At 37.3% G+C, this 15516-nt stretch overlaps 1 protein-coding gene across 2 annotated transcripts in view, besides 1 other annotated feature; it reads left to right on the forward strand.

Moving 5' to 3' along the window:
• Positions 2882-3321: an enhancer, noted in NCBI's record as "active region_22888". NCBI's record gives its function as "activates an Ori minimal core promoter by ATAC-STARR-seq in GM12878 lymphoblastoid cells {active_cell/tissue: GM12878}" and the evidence as "EXISTENCE:reporter gene assay evidence [ECO:0000049][PMID:35858748]".
• Positions 3032-15516, forward strand: part of WDR36 (WD repeat domain 36) — a 38155-nt gene continuing 25670 nt past the window's right edge. For both annotated transcript variants that reach the window (NM_139281.3, XM_047416729.1), the window contains exons 1-9: positions 3032-3302; positions 5604-5631; positions 7763-7863; positions 9406-9523; positions 11273-11405; positions 13029-13083; positions 14470-14602; positions 14861-15036; positions 15381-15501. In NM_139281.3, coding sequence (NP_644810.2) covers positions 3141-3302; positions 5604-5631; positions 7763-7863; positions 9406-9523; positions 11273-11405; positions 13029-13083; positions 14470-14602; positions 14861-15036; positions 15381-15501 — 1027 coding nt within the window. In that variant the 5' untranslated portion in view covers positions 3032-3140. The remainder of the gene's footprint in view (positions 3303-5603; positions 5632-7762; positions 7864-9405; positions 9524-11272; positions 11406-13028; positions 13084-14469; positions 14603-14860; positions 15037-15380; positions 15502-15516) is intronic.

Raw genomic sequence — 15516 nt, forward strand, 5'->3', positions numbered from 1 at the left:
ATTTCTTCCTTCATTTCAACTTTGGTGAATCTGACAATTATGTGTCTTGGAGTTTCTCTTCTCGAGGAGTATCTTTGTGGCATTCTCTGTATTTCCTGAATCTGAACGTTGGCCTGCCTTGCTAGATTGGGGAAGTTCTCCTGGATAATATCCTGCACAGTGTTTTCCAACTTGGTTCCATTCTCCCCATCACTTTCAGGTACACCAATCAGACGTAGATTTGGTCTTTTCAGATAGTCCCATATTTCTTGGAGGCTTTGCTCGTTTCTTTTTATTCTTTTTTCTCTAAACTTCCCTTCTCACTTCATTTCATTCATTTCATCTTCCATTGCTGATACCCTTTCTTCCTGTTGATGGCATCGGCTCCTGAGGCTTCTGCATTCTTCACGTAGTTCTCAAGCCTTGGTTTTCAGCTCCATCAGCTCCTTTAAGCACTTCTCTGTATTGGTTATTCTAGTTATACATTCTTCTAAATTTTTTTCAAAGTTTTCAACTTCTTTGCCTTTGGTTTGAATGTCCTCCCGTAGCTCATAGTAATTTGATCGTCTGAAGCCTTCTTCTCTCAGCTCATCAAAGTCATTCTCCGTCCAGCTTTGTTCAGTTGCTGGTGAGAAGCTGCGTTCCTTTGGAGGAAGAGAGGCACTCTGCTTTTTAGAGTTTCCAGTTTTTCTGTTCTGTTTTTTCCCCATCTTTGTGGTTTTATCTACTTTTGGTCTTTGATGATGGTGATGTACAGATGGGTTTTTGGTGTGGATGTCCTTTCTGTTTGTTAGTTTTCCTTCTAACAGACAGGACCCTCAGCTGCAGGTCTGTTGGAGTACCCTGCAGTGTGAGGTGTCAGTGTGCCCTGCTGGGGGTGCCTCCCAGTTAGGCTGCTCAGGGGTCAGGGGTCAGGGACCCACTTGAGGAGGCAGTCTGCCCGTTCTCAGATCTCCAGCTGCGTACTAGGAGAACCACTGCTCTCTTCAAAACTGTCAGACAGGGACATTTAAGTCTGCAGAGGTTACTGCTGTCTTTTTGTTTGTCTGTGCCCTGCTGCCATAGGTGGAGCCTACAGAGGCAGGCAGGCCTCCTTGAGCTGTGGTGGACTCCACCCAGTTCCAGCTTCCAGCTGCTTTGTTTACCTAAGCAAGCCTGGGCAATGGTGGGCGCCCCTCCCCCAGCCTTGCTGCCGCCTTGCAGTTTGATCTCAGACTGCTGTGCTAGCAATCAGCAAGACTCCGTGGGCGTAGGACCCTCCGAGCCAGGTGCGGGATATAATCTCGTGGTGTGCCGTTTTTTAAGCCCGTCGGAAAAGCGCAGTATTGGGGTGGGAGTGACCCAATTTTCCAGATGCCGTCCATCACCCCTTTCTTTGATTAGGAAAGGGAACTCCCTGACCCCTTGTGCTTCCCAAGTGAGGCAATGCCTCGCCCTGCTTCGGCTCGCGCACGGTGCGCGCACCCACTAACCTGCGCCTACTGTCTGGCACTCCCTACTGAGATGAACCCGGTACCTCAGATGGAAATGCAGAAATCACCCGTCTTCTGCGTCGCTCACGCTGGGAGCTGTAGACCGGAGCTGTTCCTATTCGGCCATCTTGGCTCCTCCCCTCTCCCCTCTTTTTTAATTTAAAGAACATTTACAAATAATTAGCAACTTGTTCACTTTTAAGTCATACCAAAAACATGGCTGAAAATGTGCACTGCTATTGAGAAATCCGGGGTACAAATGAAAATACAAGTAAGTACAACATGTCAAGGACTAAATAACAAGCTCTCATTCTGTTAGCATCTGCCCCTTAATGATCTTAACATCCAAAGTGTTTGAGGCTTTGTGCCAAGAACTATAAAATAAATCAAGATTTTTTTTGTTCAAGAATGTATGAGTCAGGTATTCAAATTAGCTAACAAGTGACTTTTGTTTCATAATAATTACATTTTAGAACTGGAAGGAACCCGAGAGAGTACACTGATCTGTGTAGAGACAGACCCTCTTTATCTCTTTCAAGTACATTTACATTAGTAAATATACCCTTTTTATCCCTCTCAAGTACTAGTATAGTTACGTTAGTCACTCGACCCAAACCTTAATAGGCTGCCAAAACGTTTTCATAAACGAAATGAAATGGAAATAAAACAGTAAGAGAAGAGGTTATTCCATATGTTGAACTTTGGTCCTGGGCTCTAAGCTCACCACTGTTTTAGTTAATGTTCACATGCTCAGAGATTGTTCCCCAAACCTACATCTTGGTAAGGCAGCTGGCTCCTGAGGAGTGAGGCGTCTTGACACCCACTTCACTGGAATCAGTCTCCTTCAGCATCCTAAGGCACTCAGCTCTAATGAACTGCCCGGACTCCCGTTTGCATTATGATAAGCTCCTCTTTAGAACCTCTACTGTCTGCTTTTGACAGCCGACCTCAAGGAATACTGACTTAATCCAGGAATCCCAATAACATTTAATATTTATCTTCCTTTTCTGGGAGGAATCTACACTTATCCAAGTTGCCCAAGTGAGCAGTTCCCTCCCCACAAGTAATTAGTTCTACTCCCCAGAGGGTCTGTGAGTGAATCCCTCTGTCAGTTTTGAAATGTCCCATTATAGTTTTCATCTGTAAATATGTCAATATGTATCCAAAAGATGAGGATCTTTAAAAACGTAATCATAATGCTACTATCATATGTAAAAATGAAACATAATTCCTTAATATCATCAGATATCCAGTGTTTAAATTTTTCCAGTCTCATGTTTTTGTACATTTTTAAATAATCACATGTTTAAATCGTTTCCATCTCCAAGGCGTCGACCTCCCCTCCATTCTCCTGGGCGTCGCGCTTCCCTCTTTGTTTCCCGCCCTTGCGGTTCTGTCGGAACCTAACGAGCTTCCTTCCACCGCAAAAGAGCTGGAGAACAATGCTAGGCAACGTGCTGGAGACCTTGGCCCTCGGAACCCAAGTCACGCCTCCCATGTGAGCTCTGGAGGGAGAACTTTATGTGTTGCACTGAGGGCAGTCTCCGGAAACGCGATTCGCAGCGGGCGCCGGAAGCGGTGTTGTGTCTGCAGCTCTGGCAGAGGACTGTTCCACTAGACACGCTGAAGGGACTGGGTACGTGTTTTCCTTCAGGACCAGAGCTGAGAGGAGCTGGGATCGCGGCGGCAATGGAACGGGCCTCAGAAAGGCGCACGGCCAGCGCGCTTTTTGCGGGGTTCCGGGCCTTGGGACTTTTCAGCAACGACATTCCACACGTGGTGCGGTTCAGCGCGCTCAAGCGCCGGTTCTATGTAACAACCTGCGTGGGCAAGAGTTTCCACACCTATGACGTGAGTGACTTCTTTTGTTAGCTTCCCAGGAAAACCACCCTCCTTGGCCTCTAACTCTGTCCTGGAGCAGTCCGGTTCTCCCTTCCCATTTACCACGGGCTTCCCTTCTTTAACCCCTCCCTGTCCTATTAATATTTCGCCATCCGGTCACGTCCACGTGCTGATTTGGCACTTGCAGTCCTCCTGGGGCGTGTTTCAGAGGCAGCCTGGCCAAGGGGAAACTGCTAGAGAACATCTCAGTTGTATGGCAGTAATATTTGTTCAGTGAATATTTATTGACCTTCCCTTGAAGGTGGAAACATAATTAAGACAAACCTCTACCTCTTGCATTCTTAATGAGAGAGAAAAACATGCACGCTATTACGTTATTGGTGACACGAGCTGAGTTAGAAATTCACTCTAGGTAGAATACATTGGGAGAACCGGAGATGGTGAGATTAATTACCGTTAGGGAAAATATCTAATAGCAATCAGTTATTTTCAACTAACGCAAAGTGTCTGGCACTGTCACTCTAAGCCTTGCAGCCGTTTCTTTGCAACATAGGTGTCATTATACCGTAGCACCTTTATATAATCTATTAAAGTAAATTTCAGATAAATCACTTGTTAGTGATGATTTTTTCTCCTATAACAGTTCATCGATCATTGTAATAGTGTCTCTTGTTTACTTGTTTCTTTTGTCTTCTCCGAAAGAATGTAACCTCTGTGAGAACAGAAACCTTGATGAGGAGGATGATAATAGTCAGTGTTAATTAAGTACTTTCTTTTCTGGAAAACAGGTAGAGTTGTCTCTCTTGGAGGATTGTGAATATCAAATGGCTTATTAGCAAAAAGAGCTGGGAGGTAGGAACTAGTTGAGTTAGTGGAAAAGGAAAGTGAGGGCAGAGCTGAGGTGAAGAGCAATTGGGTTTCTCAGAGTCTGAGCTGGTAATGGAGACAGGGTGGGTTAGAACCATATTAATCATGTGAAAGTATTTAGTGTTACCATTCTCTGCACTTGTTCCTTGCTTGCTAACTTTTGCTTTTGCTGGTTAATGTTTTCTTCCTTGAAATGTAATTTTTCTGAGTTTATTACTGAAATAACTCTTGAAATCTTGTCTTTGGTACAGTGTCTTTCCTGACACTGCATTACACACAGACACAGGTGTTTTTCCCTATATTCTACTTCCAAAGAAACCCTGTGGTGAGGAGAGTAACATATTTGTACATTTTATAAAGTTAACAATTTACTTACTGTGTGTTGACATTTAGTCATAATAAAGATGGCTTTTAAGTTCTCCTCTAGTTCTAACACTGATGATACATTCGTAACATCATGGCATGTAAATGTTCTTTACCCAGACTGTACACTGCTCAGATTAACCAATGCATTGGGCTGTGACCTCTAAAACTGAAAATACTTGGGAGTAAAAAGAAAAAAAAAAGGAGCTAATGAACCTAAGTCACTAATTGGGTCTACAAGTGCTCTATCCCATGACTATGGCTATATATGCTGTCCCCAGTCAGACTTCCTACAGTCCTACAGATTAGTTTCTTCTACAGGGGAAACTAGACAAGTTGTGAATAGGTGGTGGTAGTGATGGTAGTAGCTATCATGTATTGAGCAGTTACTATATGACTGGCCCCATTCTGTTTTACACAAATTTACTCATTGAATCCTCATAACAATCCCATAAAGTAAATAAATACCTGTTTTACAGATGAAGAATTTGAGGCACAGGGAGCTTATTTTTCCAGGGTCATACAGCTGGATCAGTAGCCATGATTGGGGTCAGCAAATTACAGTCTGTAAGCCAGTCTAGCCCACTGTTTGTTTTTGTATGACCCAGGAGTTACGAATGATTTTGACATGTTTAAATGTTTGTGGGGGCAGGCTGGGGGTAGGGAGAAGGATATTTCATGACATGAAAACTATGTGAAAATCAAATTTCAGTATCTATAGATAAAAGTTTAATATACCCATGCACATTATTTATCTATTACGTATGGCTGTTTTCATGCTACGGTGGCAGAAGTGAGTAGTTGGCAACAGAGACCACATGCATTGCCTGCAAAGCCTAAAATATTTAATATTTGGCCCATTATAGAAAACATTTGCCTACCCCTTCCATCACCACTCCTGGTGAAATACAGTTGAAAATATAAACTTTCCTAATAAAGAAAATTAGTGTCAGTAAGTGTCTTTCTTATGAAGGACAGCATAGCAAATATACGTATGAGGTTATATCTTAATCTTCAGGTGTTAGGTTATTATGATTATGTTTGTTAATGAAAATTTAACCTTTTTTCTTTTTTAAACAGGTTCAGAAACTTAGTCTGGTTGCAGTAAGTAAGTATGGACTTTATTCTGAATTTATGCACATCTAAACTTTTTTTTTATTTTGACATAAATGTGAGACTTACAGAGCATATAAGGAAGCCAAGGTAACATGTATGTCTTATAAACTTACATTATCAGCAACAAAAAAGGGTGCCAGGATAAATCATGTTTTGCTTTTAGTTGTTATGTATCTTTATTTTCTTTAATCTGGAACTGTTCTTTAGACTTTCTTTGTGCTTCATGACATTGACACATTGACATTTTTGAAGAGTACAGGCTCATTTAGAATGTCCTTCAGTTTGAGTTTTTTTGACATTTCTTCAGGATTAGATTTAGGTTGTACCCCTTGGGAGGAATCACAGTGAATTGTATCAGAAGGCACATGCTGTTAGTTGGTTCTGTTCCTGGTAGTGATTGGTTAGGAGGCTCTATTTTTAAGTTAGTGTTTTGTCATTTGTAACGAATAAGTATCTTTTGGTAGTATGCACTGGGACTATGTAAATATCTTAGTACTCTTCAAAGTTATTACCTGCTGCTTTTATATTTTATGATGATACTTGCCTGAATCAGTTATTAGTATGATGGTTGCCAAATGCATGTTGATTATCCTTAATCCAAAAATTTGAAACCCAAAATGCTCCTAAGTCTGAAACTTTTTGAGAGCCAACATGACGTTAACAGGGAAATATTCATTGGAACATTTCCGATTTCAGATTTTCAGATTAGGAACATTCACCTGGTTATACATATAGTCCAAAATCCAAAAAAATCCGGAATCTGAAACACTTCTGGTCTCAAACATTTCAGATAAAGCATAGTCAGCCTATAGTGATTTTCTTTTGCCATCATTCCTTCTACTGTAAGGAGAAGTTTTCCCTTTTCTCACATTTTGGTATTTCTTTCCAATGGAAGGGTTTTTTTTTAAACTATCTAATAGAATAAAACATTTCTCAGGGCAGAGAGGTACTTGTTTTACCATCAAATATGGTTCTTGTGAGAGAAACAGAAGACCTACAAGGACTGTAATGTGTATGTGTATTAAACTTATATTTTAATAATAGATTAGAAGGCAGAAGAAAGGCATTGGAACTTAAGTTGAATACAAAAGTGAATGATAAACTTATAAAACAGGGTTATGCAAACAAATACTAATATGGAATTTGCAGCATGAAAAGTACAACAATCCTGTGTCTACTAACCCTCCTGCCCCAAAAGAGGAAATGAAAAGGTCAGTGTGACCAGGATACTGAGAGAAGAATCATATGTCACGTGAGAAATGCTAAAGATTGATAGGCATATTTCCCTTGGAGAAGACTGTAGAAACAATATTGTCTTTAAATGTTTTAGGAATAGGCATATAGAATACCATATGTAATATTTTTGGGTTGGTCCAAAGGGTAGAGTTAGAGATTTAGATTTTGAGTTACTTTTAAAATTTTTCTGGAGTTATTAGTGAACTTGATGTTCCAGAAGATACTCACATGGGTTAGGCATGTGGCTCACGCCTGTAATCCCAGCACTTTGGAAGGCCGAGGTGGGCAGATCACCTGAGGTCAGGAGTTCAAGACCAGCCTGTCTAACATGGCAAAACCCTGTCTCTTCTAAAAATACAAAAATTAGCCGGGTGTGGTGGTGCACTCCTATAATCCCAGCTACTTGGGAGGCTGAGGCAGGAGAATCAGTTAAACCTGGGAGGCGGATGTTGCAGTGTGCCAAGATTGCATCACTGCACTCCAGCCTGAGTGACACAGCAAGACTCCGTCTCTCAAAAAAAAGAAAAAAAAAAAGATGTTCACGTGAAGACTGGATGACTATCTGTCAGAGCTTTGTGTTTCAAATGACAGTTTTTTCCAAATAACCTCAAAAAGCTTGTTTTCATTTCTCTAGGATTATGTTTTTATTTCTGCAAATCCTAGACATTCTCTTAGGGAAGGACAAGGTGATTTCCTATCCTTAGTTTGATAGTTACTATTAGATATCTAAAATATTTTAGTTAAAATTTTATACACTGATTCTCAACTTTGATCTTTATTTATATATTTTTTTAAATTATAGCCATGAAAAATGTTATATGTATACTTGAGGTTTCTCTTTAACATCTTAAAAATCCCTGTTTCTTTCATTTTGTATTTTCTGCTAGGTAATTCTGTTCCACAGGATATCTGCTGTATGGCAGCTGATGGCAGATTAGTCTTTGCTGCTTATGGAAATGTTTTCTCTGCATTTGCCCGTAATAAAGAGGTTGGTATCGCTAAACTACTTGTTTGTCAGTCAGTATTTGTTTGTCATGATAGTGGAGGGAACTTTAATTTTGTCATTCTTTACCCAGCACACTCTGGAACTATACAGTATTCTTTTTTTTCTAATGTATATTCAGTTTTCTGGAGGAAGATAAATTTTCAGAAAAGGCTTACTTAAAACTGGTGCTTTACTTCAGTTTCTTTGCCAGAGATGAATATCAAAATTACTTGGAGACCTTCTTCAAAATTTTTTATGCCGTTAGTTCCCATCTCAGGAGTTTTCTATTTTGTATATTTGTTGAGATAGGACATAATGTGTATTATTAAGTGTAGTTTTAAAATACTTTCCTAGAAAATTCATATTTGCACCACCACTTTATGTGGATTGGTTATTTATTATGTATAACTTAGCTTATAACTCTTTTTCTAAAAATCAGATGCCTGTTCGCTGTTTAGAGAAAGCTAGATTCTATGTTTTCTCCACTGCTAAGGAAAGATCTTTTCTGGTCTAAATCTACCAGTTGGTTTCTGAATTTGTCCTGGAACAACTAGCTTGAGAAGTGACCTGGCCTTAATGGTCTAGAATGAAAGGAAATGTAGGAATGGGGGTACAAAGATAGCCAAATGATAGTATCACTGTACTTGTCAGGGACTTGGAGTGAGGTGGTTCCCACAGTCTTTCATCATCACTTCCTGTGGCAGAGGAAGGTAACTTATCTGTAGAGTTCTTTAATGGAAGGTGTTCAGATTTTTAGAATTGGAAAAAATGTTCATTTTTGTATTGTTGTTTATAGTTTTCCCAGGGAGATATATGTGATTTACATGAGGAGACTTTATCCTATATGTATAACCTATATGTGGTTCAGATGTGGAGACTTTAATAAAGGACCTTTATGCACAGGTGTGGTCAGGGTTAGGGGAACAAAATAGGGGTGGGGAGGCGTCAGACACTGTCAACTGTAGGAAGTTGTTACCACCCCTAAGGCCAAAGGGCCAAGGAGAGGAAACAGTGTTACTGGAATCTAGTGAGAACTGAAACCATGGAGAAGGGGCTATACTTATGGAGGGATCAGCTACTGTAAGGATCTCTGTCAAAGCAGAAGGGTATGGGGAAGAAGACCCTATATCCCCCTTTCCCATCTCATCTGAAAGCCAGTTGGTGATGGAGTCTTTAGAGATCAGCCTTCTGGAATATACCATCTCGCTAGGATATATGTAGTTGCACTGATTGAATTGGGTGAGGGAACTAGGTGTGTGTGCATGCCTCCTCTCTAACCCAAGATGGAAGGCAGAGCCTCAGAGGTCTCATTTCTTTGTTCTTAATGGACAGTTTACTTCCTTATTGTTGAACTGGCTGAGGGAGCAGATGAACATGCCTGGTCCCTTAATATTTATGTGTTCATCCTAACCTTGAATAATCAAAAGTTGGGGTACATTTCTTAACAGAAGCATCTCAGGATTAGCATGTTTTTGGGATAATATGAATAATATGACATGATGACTGAGTAATAATATGAAATTCTTTTAAACTTCGATGTTTTAGATAGTACATACCTTTAAGGGTCATAAGGCAGAAATCCATTTCTTGCAACCCTTTGGAGACCACATTATCTCTGTTGATACTGATGGCATTCTTATTATTTGGCACATATATTCAGAAGGTAAGAGTTAACTCATTTATTTGCTTTATCTTAGGGTAGTATGTGTTTAATTAAAATTTAAAATCTATGTAAACATCTATGCCAGAGATTTTGCCTGTAAATAGTAAGAAATTAAAAAAATCAAAAATCTTTAACGTGTAAGAAAAAAAGTTCTAAGTAAGAAAGAGATAAACAACTTTAGCAAGTTAACTACTTATAAACTGTTTAATGTGCTTACCTCAACTAATGTATTTTCCATTGCAGTTCTCCAACTTTAATGATTTGTTGTATTGTTTTCCCTGTGGAGTGAATATTGATGTATTTTCATACCTGAGTAATTCTTGGTTTGTATTTTCACCTTTTAGTAAAGGAGACTGTAATAGTAAACTTGATCTTGTAATCTGAAGGAAAATATACATCCATTTCCTAGGGATATGAGTCAGTTTCTTTCAACTGTGATAGCTTAGACAGTGGCTATGTTTATGGGATTATGTATCTTTAAACATGAAGAATTTATCCCTAGGATATCTACACCTTTCCTCAATAAAATACTGGGTTCATCATGAATTGAATCTTTTAAGTTCTTTAATCTGGTTACATTTTTAGCTTATATTGCCTCTTGGTTTTTTTTTGTTTTTTTTTTTGTTTTTTTTTTTTTTTTTTTTTCAGTAAATATCCTGAAGATTGCATTTCTGGGAATTATTCCAGGTTCTTGTTTCAGATTAGTAACCCTTTTCTTGTTTTGTTTTTGCTCAAGTAGAGGGAGGGAACAGAATTCCAAAAGTATTCCCTGTGCAGATAGAAGTTAAAAGGGCTTTTATTAGGTTACAGGATCTGGTTCTTACATTCCAGCAGACTCTCTTGAACCAGTATATTCAGGGAGCCATTTGTAGTGACTGACGAATAAAGGCAAGGATCTCTTAAAATAGCATTCAAAGTAAAGTTTATATAATTTTCACCTATACCTGTACATCCTAAACTGTGGTACCCATACCCTGGGATTGTACAGTAGTGTGCCAGATAGTATGTGAACCTAAAGATTAAGTGAAATGTACCTTCTTTGATACACAAATTTACTGGAAAATAGAGTGGAACATTGTTTTAATCATGGAGGAACTGTAAAGTGAAAAGCAGAATTCAAACATAGAAATTTTGAATGTAACCAAAGATTTCAGAGAATTTTTTTATCTTGGAGCAAGTGACCACTGGTGATGCCACCCCCCACTCCACAGGGTTATACGTTTTTTTTTTCTCCTTTATTAGAGATTATTTTGTGGAAATGTGTGAGAAGTACTCTTATTTCACTGAGGTGTGTCTTTTATTTTTGGCATTTTTTGAGTGGCCCATCAAACTTTCCAGATAATTGGCTCTTCGTTCCCTGAAAGAGCTAAGTATAAGCACTTCACTTGGAATATTCACTCCTGTCTGTTGATCAAATTACAGAAACATGAATGCTAATCCTTAGGATCTTTTTTTTTTAACTTTATTATCCTTTTCTGTAAAGTAATTCAAAAGTGAATGAAACTTTTAATAGTATTTTTATTAGAAGTTACAGAAAATTTTTGACAGTCTAAATTAAATTACATTTACAAGTTGCCTCTCATTTATTTTATTTCTCAAGGAATGTTTATAGATTAGTATCTAAGTCTGTGGTTTATTTTAACATATAAATCTTTGATGTGATAGACTTACTTTAAGTGATAAATATATGGTTACATAAAACATTTTAAACTATTTTATAAAAAATATTTATAACTTTCACTTTTGTAGAAGAATACCTGCAGTTGACTTTTGATAAATCAGTATTTAAAATTTCTGCAATTTTGCATCCAAGTACCTACTTGAATAAAATACTTCTGGGCAGTGAACAAGGAAGCCTGCAGTTGTGGAATGTAAAATCCAAGTAAGTATTTTAGTTAGAAAATAATATAGCTGTCACCTTATCCTCATCTACTACTTCCTAATGTATACTTAAGTCTCATTTCTCCCTGCCCTTGTATATTTATTTGGAGGGTTGTCTATAAATAACAGTTGGTCCCCTGTATCAGAGGAGTCAATTAACCTGGGATCAAAAATATTCAAGGAAAAATAAATAAATAATAATACAACAATAAAACATCACATTTTAAAGTAGTACAGTATAACAGCTATTTACATAGTATTTACATTATATTAGGTCTTATAAGTAAGCTAGAGATTATTTAAAGTATATGCATAAATGTGTGAAAGTTATATGCAAATACCACACCATTTTATGTAAGGGACTTGAGCATCTGTGAATTTTGGTATCAGCAGAGAAGTTGGGGAAGTCCTGGAACCAATCCCCCACAGGTAGTGAGATATAACTATATGTTTGCTTTTGGAGTTGTTGCTGGTGGCATCACATATGTGAAAGGTGGCATGTGATCCTGACACATGTTAGACAGCTTCATAAATGCTCACTGAAAAGTATGTACTAATGACCTAATAACTGTAAAGAATTGCTATAGAGAAGGCTCTAATAAAGGTCTATGAGATCCATCAGAAAATAATAATAATGAGATTATTACTAGGGAGCTTCTGATTTTCCATACATGAAGATTTTCTATACATGAAGAAGGTAAAAGATGGAAAGGCAAATCAATAATTTAGTGCTAGCATTTAGAAATGATTTTTAGGGTTAAAAGTACTTCCATAATCTCCCATAGATATGGCAAATATCTAATATTGATGTAGCTAGAGGGCTGGATACATGATTTTGAATACTTCTATCCATTATGTAAACATTTATCAGTAGAAAAAGGTGGCAGCTCACACTTCTTTGTATAGCATTTTAAAAAGCAAACAAAAATATTTGACCATCCAAATTGTTTTTTTCCAAAGTCCTTTTAAATTCAAAAGGGAAAATAAGATTATTAAAGGTTTGATGTTTTAAATCAGTGTTTCATTACAATTTAACAAATACCATTGACTGCCTACTTTGTGCTAGGTTCAGCAATAGTGACTGAAATACTGTCTTTGCCCATTTACAGAATTTAATACATGATTTAATATTTTAATGATAATTATAATGATTTCAGATACCTCTGTTTGCTCCATGGATGTGTTATTTATCATTCATGACTTGCTTCTGAAATTGAGAGCAGCATTACTGTTGTCATATAACAGTCATATAACATGCAAATAATATTTTTATTAAAATATAAGTTATTCCCTTTCATGATGTTTCTATAAAGATACTGCAGTCCTAAATTTTTTTTACTGTAGCCTGTAATATAACATGATTTTTACACACGTATTTTTTTTTCCACTTAGGACATTTAATTTCTTAATGAGGTGGCATAGCATAGTAGTTAGTTTGAGACCTAGAATTTGTCTGGACAATATTACTAACCTTGTGACATTAGCTTAATCATCAGAATAGTGTGTGGAAGAGTAAGAACTTAATAAATATCACCTATTATTATTTCACTTTTTAATGTGTAGCTGATATTGTTTTCCTCCAAAAAAAAAAAAATACAGCTTTCAACTATTTTTCTTCTTGTAGTAAACTTCTATATACATTTCCAGGATGGAAAGTTGGAGTGACAGCTCTTCAGCAGGTTAGTATTTTTCTGTTAAGTCAAAGAGGAACAAAGTTAATAGGAAAATCCTTCAGTTTCAGGAATCAATCATAATTTTAGACGTAAAGACGAAACAATATATAGCTTAGTTTACCTTTAAAATTGTTAGCCTGAGGAAATAGTGTTTTGGAAATGTAAGTTAAAACAAGTAATAATGCCTTTGCCAATAACACTTATTGGAGTCCTTTGTGCTTATAGTTTGACTTAAATCTGTGGTTGCTATGGATCCTTGTTTCTAATCATTTTGCAAGTATATGTAGTCCATTGTCTTGTGTAGACTGGAAATGAGTGTTCAGCAATGCAAGCGGTATTGTAAGTCATGTAGAGAAATTTGTCAAGATGTTGAGATTTATGGTTTGAAGTAATTGGAGCCAAAATCCTAATGTTTGATTCGATGATGGACTATTTAAGAAATAACTGCTTTTTTTTAATGAATCTGCAAAATATGTATAAATAAATGAATGCATGTCTACAGCGAATCTTGTGTTTATATTGGCCACATATGTAGCCACTATACCCTTATCTTTTTCAGTATCCATTGTCTATACTTGCCCAATTTATATGTATTCCTTATCTTCTCTTGCTGTCATCAGCCTAGCTCCACTTTTGCCTATCCAGAAGACTCCATAAGTATCAGAGGATTAGGACCCTTGAGGACAAGGGATTATATCTGTTTTAGTATCTCCAATTTCTACACAGGGTCTCATGCATAGTAGACACTTGATGACAAATTAATAAAACGTGTAGCCTGATTCCATTCTATAATGATATTGGACATTGATCTTTGCTAAAATAGAGAAATTCATAATAGAGCCTGTATGTAAGACTTGTATTATAGACCATTATAACCATAGAATATTAGAACTGGAACAGACTAATTGTAAAACTTTTTTTGCCTTTTCACATGTTTTGTAGGTTTTTCCTACTTTCTTGGATAAGCAATTCTTCACTTCCTTTGTAATTGGTTACATGTTGCCACACATAGCGCAAGCCTTTATGTTTTCTAGTTGTCTCCTTTTTCTGTTTCCATCCAGTCCAGTGATCTGTAGTGATTTTATACATAGCTTTCTTTTTCTGTTGTGGTTGTTTTCTTTCCAAAATCTTACCAGCTAGGTTTTGGGAATGAGGATGGGATGTTGACTGGCAGAATTGAAGCTGGGAAGTAATTTGGAAAAATCATTACTGAATACTTCTATGCTGAATAAAAAAGTATGCTTGAATGGTAATACTTGCTGAGTTTTTCTGCCATCTTTTAGAAGATACTTCATTATTTCTTTTGATAACACCTAATAATGATGCGTATCATCAGGATTATTAAAGCTATTTTGCTTAAGAAAGTAAAAGTTTGAATAATTTAATTTTTAGGCACCAGCCGTGGATGTTGTTGCTATTGGTCTTATGTCAGGTCAAGTTATCATTCACAACATTAAATTTAATGAAACATTAATGAAGTTTCGTCAAGACTGGGGACCCATTACTTCAATTTCATTTCGCACAGGTAACTTTTAACATACTTATTGATAGGAGTTAAGAACACTTAAAATTCATTACTTTAAAAGTCAATTTTTTTTGTCTTCTGGTAGCTTAATCTAATAGAAGTGAATGAATACTGGAGTAAAAGGCAAAGAAATATGAATAGATTATTGGTATATAGTTTTTTTCTAACTTTATGGATTAAAAGGGAAGAGAGAAGAATTCTTGTTTATTTTGGGGGATCTAGAAGTATTTTTCTTAATGTATTTTATTTTAATAACAGATGGTCATCCAGTAATGGCAGCTGGAAGCCCATGTGGCCATATTGGACTCTGGGATCTAGAAGACAAAAAATTAATCAACCAAATGAGAAATGCACACTCTACAGCAATTGCCGGACTGACATTTCTCCATAGAGAGCCACTTCTTGTCACAAATGGCGCTGACAATGCTCTTAGGGTATTATGATTATTGTTAACATCTTCCTGGCTCATCTAACTTACCCTTTGGGTTATTACAAGCTTGTTTTAATGTATCAGCTTTCAACCTAGAAGATGAAAGGAATATGGAATGAGATATTGGTATAGATGAAACAAAAAGCACAGCAGGTGACATGATTGCAGTGAAGCGGGAAAGAATTACAGTTTATTTCTCCCCCAATACCCACTCCCTCCCTTGTAGCTCCAGAGTCAGTGGCTTAGCAAGCACTACTCAATACCAGTTGATTTATGTAGGGGGTGATTTGACTGCTTGCAGATCAGATGGAACATTGTAGAAGAACTGACGTTTTTATTTCTTGGCAGATATGGATATTTGATGGTCCTACAGGTGAAGGCCGACTTTTGAGATTCAGAATGGGTCATAGTGCTCCTCTTACCAATATCAGATATTATGGACAGAATGGACAGCAGATTCTAAGTGCAAGTGAGCTTCTGCTTC

This window comes from Homo sapiens, chromosome 5 (genome assembly GCF_000001405.40).
Source record: "Homo sapiens chromosome 5, GRCh38.p14 Primary Assembly".
Classification (NCBI taxonomy): Eukaryota; Metazoa; Chordata; class Mammalia; order Primates; family Hominidae; genus Homo; species Homo sapiens.